The sequence below is a fragment of the Homo sapiens genome, chromosome 8, assembly GCF_000001405.40.
Source record: "Homo sapiens chromosome 8, GRCh38.p14 Primary Assembly".
Classification (NCBI taxonomy): Eukaryota; Metazoa; Chordata; class Mammalia; order Primates; family Hominidae; genus Homo; species Homo sapiens.
In genome coordinates, this window is record NC_000008.11 from 140,960,709 (window position 1) to 140,973,502 (window position 12,794).

Consider the following 12,794-nt stretch of genomic DNA (forward strand, 5'->3'; position numbering starts at 1 on the left):
CGGTGGCTCACTCTTGTAATCCCAGCACTTTCGGAGGCCAAGGCGGGCAGATCACCTGAGGTCAGGAGTTAAGACCAACCCGACCAACATGGTAAAACTCTGTCACTACTAAAAACACAAAATTAGCCAGGCGTGGTGGCGCATGCCTGTAATCCCAGCCACTCGGGAGGCTGAGGCAGGAGAATCACTTGAACCTGGGAGGCGGAGGTTGCAGTGAGCCAAGATCACACCACTGCAATCCAGCCTAGGCAACAAGAGCGAAACTCTGTCTCAAAAATAAAAAAGTACTTTATAGATAAAGAGCACTTTTCCTTGGAAATGTACTTTAAAGTCAGAAAAGCAGCAGATATATAGAAAAGACATCTGAAATCAAATTCAAGAAACCTGAATTCCAGTCCTAGTTCTATCACTAGAGCAAGTTTGGGCACTGTGAGCAAGTTATACATGCCTTTTACATTTATTTCCCTCGAAGACAGGCAAATAACTACACCACACTTTGCTAAGCTTATGGATGGTATCAAACAGCCAACTATATAGCCACACAATTTGTTATTACATTTGCTATTTCCAAGAAATGTATCTAATCCTAAAAATAACTCAGCAACCATACCAAATCTCCAGATAAACTTCAAATTCCAAATGCAAAGTTTCCTTTAAGATTTGGTACTACAGGCCGAGCGTGGTGGCTCACACCTGTAATCCCAGCACTTTTGGAGGCCAAGGAGAGTGGATCACAAGGTCAGGAGATCGAGACCGTCCTGGCTAACACAGTGAAACCCTGTCTCTACTAAAAATACAAAAAAATTAGCCGGGCGTGGTGGCGGGCACCTGTAGTCCCAGCTACTTGGGAGGCTGAGGCAGGAGAATGGCGTGAACCTGGGAGGTGGAGGTTGCAGTGAGCCAAGGTCGCGCCACTGGTCTCCAGCCTGAGCGACACAGCGAGACTCCATCTCAAAAAGAAAAAAGAAAAAAAAAAAAAGATTTGGTACTACAAATCAGTCTCACCAAGTTAATACTAGAGAGCTCACCTAACAAAAAGTACTTATAGTACACATTTTTTAAAAGGCAATGATTTAAGCCTGGTAAGGAAATTTTAGATAAAAGAAAGCAAAGGTTTCTTTTATAGGTTTAATTCTTTTAAAGATTTCATTTAGAGGTTTATCCCTTCAACCATACAACCCAACTGGAGTGGTGGTGTTTTAGGAAAACTGCCTCCTCTTTTGCAATTTATTGAGTTAGTATCTTTAAACTCAAAAATATCTGGGCCTGGTGTGGTGGCTCATGCCTGTAATCCCAGGCAGAGACAGGTGGATCACATGAGGCCAGGAGTTCAAGACCAGCCTGGCCAACATGGCAAAACCCCGTCTCTACTAAAAAAAATACAAAAATTAGCCAGGAGCTACTCAGGAGGCTGAGACAGGGGAATCGCTTGAATCCGGGAGGTGGAGGTTGTAGTGAGCTGAGATCACACCACTGCCTGGGCAACAGAGCAAGACTCTGTCTCAAAATTTAAAAAAAAAAAAAAAGGAAGGAAGAAAGGAAGGGAGGAAGGGAAGAAGGGAGGGAGGAAGGGAGGGAGGAAGGGAGGGAGGGAGGGAAAAAAATTATGTGGTTATTTTTACTCATTTCAACAAATTCTTGCTGTTTTGTGTGGCAATGAAGACAGCAGTCCCATAGTAAAGAGCTAAAGAAAACTGTGTACAAGCATCCAGCAATGCCAAAAGCTCTATCAGTATACTATGCCTACTACAAACACACATACTCTGTGAGGGGCCTGAGGGGCCTCCTGTATAGGACACACAGCTCGAGCATACTCTACAGTCATCACACCTGTAATCCCAGCACTGTGGGAGGCCGAGGCGTGTAGATCATGAGGTGAGGAGATCGAGACCATCCTGGCTAACACAGTGAAACCTACTAAAAATACAAAAAATTAGCCGGGCGTGGTGGCTAATCCCAGCTACTCGGGAGGCTGAGGCAGAGAATGGCGTGAATCGGGGAGGCGGAGCTTGCAGTGAGCTGAGATCACGCCACTGCACCCCAGCCTGGGTGACAGAGCGAGACTCCCTCAAAAAAAAAAACCACAGAATGTCCACCCTCCTTTCCCAGCATTAGTGACACTCCTCACTCATGGCAATCCTACAAACTTCCTGGCCCTTGTAGGTCCCCCCCCCCAACCCAACCTACCTAGGCTTCCTCTGCTTGCCCTTTAAGTGCTCTCCTGGGGACCCTATTCTTTGTGTTAAGTACATTCCCTTTGCAGTGCAAAAGCAGCCATAGACAATATATAAACAATTTGAATGCATCCCAATAAATACATATTTACAAAAGCAGATTTGGCCCACGTGCTATAGTTTCCTCAGCCCTGTAACAGACCACTGATACCAACACGCACGAACCTTAAGGCCTTGCCTCTCCCTCTAATACAGCCTATATATGTTCTTCCTCCTATAAATATATACCCTATAACAATGAACAGCTTATAATAGCATCTCCTCTTAACTAATTCTTTCCACGAGCTATACTCTGTGCTAAGAGTCTTAGGAGTACTCAGTCCTCAAAATAACCTCTCAAGGAATTATTCCTGTTACACATTTCCGGAAGTTCAGATTTAGAAGGTTATCTAATTTTCCAAAGTCACATAATAATAAAAAGCCAAGCTAAGAATCAAATTCAGGTGTCTGACCCCAAAAATCCTGCCCTTAACCATGACCAGTTGCCCAATCTAACTCTTTCACCTCACTTATCTCTCACCCCTAAGATCCCTGCTCTCCAATTCTATGGCCATCCATTTAATTCAAGTTACAGTGTTGCAAAAACAAAAACAAAACAAAACCTCCTAACTGATCTACTTTCTTTATTACAGTGCCCCCTTCAATTCAACTTCTTCACCAGTACCTACCTGAGTGACCTTTCCTAAAACAAATTATGTCAACCGCTCAAAAGTCTTCAACAGCTCTCATTACTTTGAGGGATATTAGAAATTCTTTGCTTTGAAAAGCAATTTTCCAACTGTGTTCCCTATTCTGCTGACATTTATCTGGGGCATCAAAGCATACCTTCTAAGCCTTTACCTCTTCCTCCTCAAAATATTTCTCATCATCCCATTCCAAATAGAATATTCCAGGGGGAACAGGGAAGAGGAGAACTTGAGGGGGGTTAGGGGGTTAAGAGGGAGAAGGAGAGAAAGAACAGAACCAAACCACTAGCTTCCTATCTCATTTTCCATCACTTGCTCATTCCTTTTCTACGGTAGGGTCATACTGAACAACCTCAACTTCCCTTAATGTGCCATGCTACTTCTTACAAACAAGCCTTTACTTATGCCAGTCCTTCTGCCTGGTAGGTTCTTCCCTTCCCCCACCCAGCTTACTCCTAATCATCCTTCAAAGTTCAGTTCAAGTGCAACCAAAAATCTGCCTTCCATGACCCTCCTCCCACCTAAGACTGATGTGGATGCACCACCCTATGCATGAATGTTTCTACCACAGGATTTAGCCCACTGAACTATAATCAATAATTTGCCTGTTTTTTAAGAGACAGGGTCTTGCTCTATCTTCCAGGCTGGAGTGCAGTGAGGAGAGCCTAGCTCACTGTAGTCTCAGACACCTGAGCTCAAGCAATCCTCCCACCTGAGCCTCCCTCAGCCACACCATCACGCGCCAGCTAATTTCTTTTTTTTTTTCTGGAGATAGGGTCTCACTCTGTCATCCAGGCTGGATTGTGGCAATGCGATCAAGCTCACTGCAGTCTCAACCTCCCAGGCTCATGCGATTCTCCTACATCGGTCTCCCAAGTAGTTGGGACCACAGGTGGGCACCACCCCCAGCCCCAGGTAATTTTTTTTTTTTTTTTTTTTTTTTTTTGGTAGAGAGGGGAGTCTCACTATATTACCCAGGCTGGTCTCAAACTCCTGGACTCAAGAGATCCACCCGTCTTGGCCTCTCTCCGCCTCCCAAAGTGCTAGGATCACAGGCATGTGCCACTGAGACCATTTCTCATTTAACTATTACTTTTCAGAACCAAGTATAATGCTAGCAACAGTATATGCAAATGCAAAGAAAGGTTTTTTCATTTATTCATGTACAGAGATCTGCTATACATTCCTGGCATCATTCCAGGAACAAAAATTCAAAGACACTCAGACCTTGCTTGCCCTTAATGAGTTTCAACTACATATTCTTTGCTCCCAAGAAAAAAGGTATTTATCCTATATCCTCTTTCTCTCCAAAAGACAGAACATTCACCAATGGCTTTACAGAATTTTGATGGTCCTGCTATCATGAACGGATATGGAAACTAAGACCTAATAATCCTTTTTTGACATTGCATGCATCATGTAATATGAAGAGTGTCGGCCTGGGCATTAGGAAACCTGATTTCTATTGTTTAGAAAAAAACACTATTACTTTTAAAGAAAACAAAATCCAAACTCTTTATTATGACCCTTACTTGTCAAGCCAAGTCTAACTCTCTAGTCTAAAGTCTCTCAGCACTGTCTCTTATGAATCCTACACTCTGGCAAAACTAAACTATTGTCAGTTTACAGAGCAACTTGTACTTTCTCTCACATCTCTATGCCATCTGCTGCTCCTTCTACCTAGATCTTCTTCCCATTGCTTAACTTGATGTACATGTGGTAGGGGCTGTTCTGTCTCACCCCAGGTTAGATGCCCCTCTCCTGCACTCCACAGCATTTCTTCACTCAATATAGGTTATTCAGTGACAGACACAAGCCATGCACTGCACAAGGTATTGGACATGCACGGTACCAGAGACATGACCCTACCCCAAAGGAATCTTGTGGTGAAGCTTACTAGAGAGGCCATTAAAATTTTGCCTTTTCTGTCAGTCTCTTCCTCCTCCAAGTAAACAACAATATTCTAGGCCAGGCGTGGTGGCTCACGCCTGTAATTCCAGCACTTTGGGAGGCTAGGGCAGGTGGATCACCTGAGATCAGGAGTTCGAGACCAGCCTGGCCAACATGGCAAAACCCCGTCTCTACTAAAAATACAAAAATTAGCCAGGCATGGTGGCACACACCTGGAATCCCAGCTACTTGGGAGGCTGAGACAGGAGAATCACTCGAATCCAGGAGGAAGGGGTTGCAGTGAGCCAAGAACGCGCCACTGCACTCCAGCCTGGGTGACAGAGCAAGACTCCATCTCAAAAAGAGAAAGATTCTAGGGACAGTGACAACCTCTTTCAGCTCTGCAGCCTCAGGACCTAAACACCAGGTAAACAACTTAAGCACTATTAATTAAAACCAAAGTAAAGGTCAGAAAAGCTCCAGTTGGTTGCAGTTGGAAGCATTTCTTCTTTCCATGCACTCTGCCTTTCCTGCCTTTCTATTAGGAGTGTAAACCTAAAAACATCACTTGTTGAATTATTCTGACACTCTTGGAACTGGCTTTCTTCTCTTCATTAAATATGAAGACAAACCATCCCAGTTACTCCCCACATCTACTTTTTGTTCACCATTGTATACCCAACAGTATGCACCATTATCTAAAACAGCATCTAGAGCGCATGATTATCGATAAACATTTATATGATGCATGAATGACTTAATGAATAAATGAATGGATACACTGGCATTGAGTACCTCAGCCACATTCTGATAACCGCTTTTTGCTTTATGTTTTATTCTATGTAGTTAAAGGAGAATTTAAGCAAGTTACAAGCCTCCATTCTATCAAGACTAGGCTTACTGCCCACTTACTGTTTTAGCAACAGGCAACTTAATGCATGTTGAATCCTGTTTTAGCAACAGGCAATTTAATGCATGTTGAATCCTAACTCTTCTTATTCCATGATTTAATCCATCTTTACTAAGAACAGAAATCTATTTGTAACTATGAAACTGATAAAATATAAGTATAAAAATCTGAACTAGCTCAGAGTATAAAGTAGCTATTTCTCAAATTATAAAATTAAAAGTCTTAAATTCTTTTTCTCCAGATGGATAAAGAAAAATTAAAGTTGGCTTATTATACAATGATATACATGTTTATCTCCACATTCTCAACTCTGAAGATATTTTAAGATGGATATTCCCTACCCTTTGTGCATGAATGAGTGTATTTTAAGATAGGTATAAATAGATGCTTGGGCTGCTCTGAACCCTTTTCCCTTTTAACCTACAAACTAAAATTTTCCATACCACACTAAATCTGTGCTTCATTATCACGTAGAATATTTCCTTTCACCACCTTGCTTTCAATGTTCTCATTTCAATGCACAATCCAACTTGGCCAGCCTTCTATCATTCTTTTCTCACTACCTCCAAATAACAATCCTGATCATAACAATAGCAGCTTCATGTGTGTGGAGTGTCTATATTAGCTCATTACTCCTCACAGCCCTAACTGGTTACTATAATTGTTTCCACTTTACATACAAGGAAACAGACTTAAAGAAGTTACTAAGTTTTCCAGGGTCACACAGCAAAGAAGGGAGAGACCAGGAATTCAAATACTGGTTTATCAGCACTCAAAATCATGCTGCTATTCTTGCTTCCCAAATTAACCACGTAATATTGTTAAAACAATAAACATGATCTGGGCTTTCCAAAGCAAGCATGACAGAAAGTTCTTACCACAGCTGAGTAATGTTCAATATGACATATTGACAAATTATAAGTTATCTGGCTGGAATTAAACAAGTAGGATGAGCCCCTGGAAAAGAAAATGTCTGTTTGATGCTAAGTGCTAAATAAGGCTCAAACCCAGTATTTCTTTCTTTCTTTCTTTCTTTTTTTTTTTTTTTTTGAGACGGAGTCTCTCTCTGTCATGCAGGCTGGAGTGCAGCGGTGCAATCTCGGCTCACTGCAACCTCCACCTCCCAGGTTCAAGCAATTCTCCTGCCTCAGCCTCCCGAGTGGCTAGGATTACAGAGGCCTGCCACCACGCCCAGCTAATTTTGTATTTTTAGTAGAGACAGGGTTTCACCATGTTGGCCAGGCTGGTCTCCAACTCCTGACCTCGTGATCTGCCCGCCTCGGCCTCCCAAAGTGCTGGGATTACAGACGTGAGCCACCGCGCCTGGCCTAACCCAACATTTCTTAATCCATATCCTAACAATTTAACTCATCTATGAAGCTCCCCAATGTTCAAAATACACAACCACTTTATACCAATTTTCCCTTCTTCTAAACTCAGTCTATCAATAGTTCCTGCACTTAACACAAGCTGCAACCTATATTCTGAAAGAACACAGGCCAGAAGTAACTTTCTGAAAAACCAAAAATACATTAAGAATGTGAATATGTTATGAAAATCACCAGAGCAAACAAAAGCTTCTTTATGCTTCAAAATAATTTTTTAGCCAAAAATATTCTAATACTAGACTGGCACTGCTCAAAGGTGGGAATACTGTGTCTCATTCACTATCTCTGCACTGATGCTTAGTACACGGTTTGCCATCTAACTGGTACTAAGCTACTGACTAAACCAATACCCTAAAAGAGGCTGTAAAATTATTGAATTTTAAAAACCAATATTAACAGTAATAACTTGCCCATTTTGTATGCATAGCAAATGACGAATATAAACTGTTTTCCAGTTTTTAGATCAATATAAATCAGGGAATGATGAAGATTAGCCCTTAAATTCCCACAGTAGAAATAACTACACTGTTAGGAACTGTACTTATGAACATCGAGTTGATCCTGCCCAAAAAAAAAATCGTTTTTAATTATTTATATGACTAGCCAAGCACTAAGAACTATATATCACATTTACAAAAGAGTTACAATTCACAATAATCTCTACTAAACAGAAGAGAAAAAACAGATTAGAGAGTTTAAGGAGCTTGGTCAACATCATACAGGGAGCAAGGATCAGATATGAATGCAAAGCAAAAATCTGTCTACAGCTTGTGCTCTTCACCGCTGTTCTATTCTGCATTGTAAAAAATATCCCCACAAAATTATATTGTGTGAAAGGCTTAAAATGTCAAAGAGACATTATTCTACTTAAACTAATCAATAGGCATAGTCAATACATTCAACACAAGACAACTCTTCTATCATACTTGAGAAAACTAATGGCTATCATGATATATGGTAAGGGCCATGTTGTCTACCTGAGAAAAACACCAAAAGAAACTATGGGAACAGACACCAAAAAAAGGATCTATCTATAAGCCAAATTCAAGAAATAATTCGAGCAGCAACTCCTATGGGGGCTGGAAGAGGTAACTGATCAGGGACGCAAAATCATTTGAGCATCATGGCCCAGCTGAAACTGGTGACCATTACCTGAGTAACAGAAGCAGTTTGCGAAGTGAACAGCTTCAGGTTTAGATAAGGAAAAATAAGCACATTGCACCCTGTCACTCCTCTTGAAAGCAACTAGAAAGCCTGAACAGAGTAACTGCAGAAGCTATTTGAGGACTCTGAAAAGTAAACAGTAGCAGGTGGATGAGGGAGGAATAGAATTCAAACCACCACCACATCAGCATATTTAAACAAGACCCAGAGTCTCCTCCTAACATAACATCCAAAAAGTCGGGGATACAATCCAAACTTACTCTGCACAGGAGGAACCAGGAAAACCTCAATTCCCATAGAAAAAGAAAATCAAGACAAGCCAATACTGAGATGACACAAAGGTCAGAATTATCTCACAAAGACTTTAAAACAGCTATTATACAAATAATCCTATAAACAAGCACACACACAATATACTTGCTATCACTAATTATCTTCCCTTTATCTCACCTCTCCACCAGAACTTCTCTATCCAAGATTACCAATGACCTCAATACTGCTAAATCCAATGGTCAATACTTAGATATTACTTCCTCTGTCAGCTGCAACTGACAGGTAATTATTCCTGCTTCCCTTCTCTTGCTTTCCAGGACACCATCTTCTCCTGGTTTTCTTCTTACCTCACAGGTGGTTTCTTTCCAGTCTCTACAGCTGTTCTTCCTCTTCTTGCAAACTTGTCAATTCTAGAGTTCCCCAAGACTCTGTCCTTTCTCTTATTTATGCTCACCTCCTAGGCAAGCTCACTTTAAAAGCTACCTTTATGCTAACTGTAGCTCAGATTTCTTCCAAAATCCCAACTTGAAAATCCAGTTGCCTGGTTGTTGTGCTAGACTGTTGTCAATTCTGCATCATTACCACCTTCTATATTCACCTGTGTGACATAGGGAAGCCAGAACTACATTTCCTACAAACCCCTTCCTGCTACAACTCAGGGTTAGAGTCAACTAATAAGGGCAACTCGTGCAAGACTGGTAAGATAAAAGAGCACACTACCCTCTGGAGGCAGCTGTAGGCTGATGTGCTGGGAGAAAAAAATAACTGACCTACTTCTGAAACTAAGACCTAGATAGAGCAGCTCCTACTAGGAATTCCCAGCAGCTTCGGAGAAACTCCAAGAACCATCCACTTCAACCACAGCAGCAGAGGCTTCAATTCTGAGACCTCTGCCCATCTCAGATGAGCTCCTGGGAAGTACACACTGTGAACAGCTGCTTCCTGGACCTTCAATTCTCCAACCCTTCCAACAGTAGTGAAGGACTATAATCCTGTGTATTTAAAAAAGTGTCTAGAGCAGCTTCTCTTTTCCTGAACAATTCCTCATGGATACACTATGCTGGGGACCAGCTTCTAGATCCTCAGAGAAGTGAAACATCAGTTAAGCGAATAAAAATGTCCAAGAGACATTTCAAAGCTCAGATATTGATCTTTCTCCTCCAAACCTTCTTTACACACTCTTCTCTATGTCAGTTCTTGGCAACTCTCTCCTTCCAGTTGTCCAGGCCAAAAAACAATGGATGTCATCCTTGTCTCTTTTATTCCTCACACTCCATGTTCAACCTTGTCAGCAAATAATGTCAGCTCTTCCTGGCAAATCTGCCAAGAAACTGTCCACTTTGCTCCACATCCTCCACCATCACCACGACTTGTGCCATCATCACCATTCACTCAAATGAACTCAACAGCCACCTGACAGGTCCCCTGCTTCTAACCTTGCTGCTCTGGTGCCTATCCTCAACATTGCAGATGAAGTCAAATCTCAATCTGATTGCAGATGAAGTCAAATCTCAATCAGATGTCATCACTTCTCTGCTCAAAACCCTAAATGGCTCTCCATCTTATGTGGATAACTTAACCATGTTAAGTTGTCTGACTACAACATGTCTGACTACAACAGACAAAGAAATATGTCAAAAAAAAAAACCAAAAAACAAAAAACTTGCTTAAGACTATAAGCTTTTCAATAAGAACAGTTGCTCAAAGAGTTGAGGATACTGATAACAACATCAATGTCAGTCAAAAAAAGGCAAATATTTTTGAATGATTTTCCTTGGTTGTTGACGTTGCTCAACTGTTTATTCAAGGAGTCAATGCCAACCTTGAAGTAACTAAAAAATTAGTCTCTAAGAATAGTCTGTGTGGAACTACAAATAATATTTTCAAAGCTGAGAAAACACTAATTTAGTACAATCTGAAGTGGAATCTACTAAGATGCATGATAATAACTGGTGATAGTAAAAATATATGGGGAGCAGACAAATGATTTGCTGCACAAATTTACAAAAATTATGAAAGTATTATGGTTATTCATCAGCAAGTACTATGTAGAAAGTATTTAAATCTGTCAGGTGTTATTGGACCAGTAGCATCCACAGTGAACTTCATTAGCTCTTGTAGACTTAACCATTGTCAGTTCCTTGAATTTGTCAGAAATAGAAACTGAGTATCTTGACTTGGCCTACCACACAGCAGTTAAATGGACAGTGGTAGGTTTTATTCTAACTTTATGACCTTAGAGTCAAGACTCAAATTTTTCTAAAAGAGCCTCCTTCAGTTAACACTGTTACCAAACACTGAATAGCTCTGCAATCAATTTTTTCTACAGACTTGATGTTTCTTAATGGATTCAATTTAAGTTTACAAAGGAAAACAGTACTTATATGAGGAATTTATACTGTAGTAAAGTCATTTCAATGACAGCTAACATTTGAATCACAAGTTGCATTAAGCTTCTTTATATACTTCTCGTATGTGAAAGTTAAAACAAAAAGCAAGATTTCAATTCTGTGCAAATTTGCAGTGGATATATTTTCTGGGTTCAAACTACATTCCAGTAGCATTTTTCAAACTCCGATGCAAGTACAAAGAAAATTTACATATTTCAAAATCCATTTAACTGTGCAATTGAGGTGCTTCCATCTAACCACCAATAGGAAGTGATTAATCTGCAATGCAATAACATGCTAGAAGGCAATTATCAAGGAGAATCTAATAGAATTCTATAAATGCCTTCTAAGCAATGAATATGCTCCTGAACTGCTATCAGTATTTCGATGTATCCTGTCAGGATTAAGACATTTTTCAAAGATAAAATATGTAAAATCTCCTTGCAGATTAGCATTAAGAGATGAACACTTGTAATTGATGTTGATAATAGCAAACACTAAGTTCAAACTCTAATTTAGCCAAATGTTATCCACCTCCTCCCCTAAAAAAAAATCCATTCCTCTCATTAGACCTGTATTTTTTTAATTATGCTCAATTGTTTTTATTATTTTAATTAATAAATAATTGTTAATTTTTTTTAGATGGAGTCTCATTCTGTCACCCAGGCTGGAGTACAGTGGCATGATCTCGGCTCACTGCAACCTCCACCTCCCAGGTTCAAGTGATTCACCTGCCTCGGCCTCCCGAGTAGCTGCAACTACAGGCGCACGCCACCACGCCTGGCAAGTTTCTGTATTTTTAGCAGAAACGGGGTTTCACCATGTTGGCCAGGCTGGTCTTTAACTCCTGACCTCAAGTGATCTGCCTCCCTCCGCCTCCCAAAGTGCTGGGATTACAGGCACGAGCCACTGTGCCCAGCCTCAATTACTGTTTTTATATTTTGAATTCAGTCGATGAAAATTTGTGGAAATTTGTTTTCTCTCATTATTTAAATACCTACATAATATTCTTGTTTTGCCTATTCATCTGCAAAACCTAAAATATTCACTATCTGCCCCTTTACAAAAAAGTTCACCGATCCTTGTTTTAGTCAACTAGATTCCCAGGTCTTCCGCACACTGGTAGAGTTAAGACACGTTTTGTCCAGCTTTAGCTTTCTCAGTTGCTTTTCCTTTTAAACTAAGTCTGCCATTTTACATTTATTGCTGACAAATTTCACCCTATGGATTTTACCACTTCATTACCACCTGTCAAAATATTTTAAAAATCTAAAATTCTAAAAATGAACTGTCTCCCAGTGTGACTCCTGTTCTTTATTCAAATCCCTGATAGAAATGTTAGAACAGATGTCAAGTATGACACACTTCTGGAGACATCCTCACCTGTGTGTAGAAATTCTAATTTTTCAGTTTCGTGGTAAATGTTACTGTATGTGGTTACAACATATCTTATATCTAGGAGCAATAATAATTTCTTGAACTCCCTAGTAATGACAGAAATAATAATTTGCTTTGCTAGGGCTTATGCAGTAAAGGATTAACCGCCTTGCTCAAAGAAAAGTTTGGCCCTTTGCCCAGATCCTGGGAGGTAATCTTTAAGCTCTTGGAAGCTCGTCCGATAAAGCTGTCTTTGTTTACCTGGGGACCCTGACCCACAGCAAACACCAGGCTTGACCTTTGGATGGGGCTGGAGAGTAAGCTCACCTATGATTCTCCATCAAATGGTCATTTGACTTTTCTGGGTTATTTACTTACTCATCTCTAAAGTAAAAGCTTTGGATCCTAAATTTAGATATACCCCTAAAATTCTAGATTACGTAAAGCAAAGAGTAAAAGGGGCACACATACACACACACGTA

The 12,794-nt window shown here is 40.5% G+C and overlaps 1 protein-coding gene across 175 annotated transcripts in view, besides 1 other annotated feature; it reads right to left on the bottom strand.

Moving 5' to 3' along the window:
* The window catches only part of PTK2 (protein tyrosine kinase 2), a 344,180-nt gene that overhangs the window by 302,809 nt on the left and 28,577 nt on the right, over positions 1-12,794 (bottom strand). The window lies entirely within an intron of this gene.
* Positions 12,402-12,696: an enhancer, noted in NCBI's record as "tiled region #10587; HepG2 Activating DNase matched - State 5:Enh". NCBI's record gives its function as "activates a minimal TATA promoter and a strong SV40 promoter by Sharpr-MPRA in HepG2 cells {active_cell/tissue: HepG2}" and the evidence as "EXISTENCE:reporter gene assay evidence [ECO:0000049][PMID:27701403]".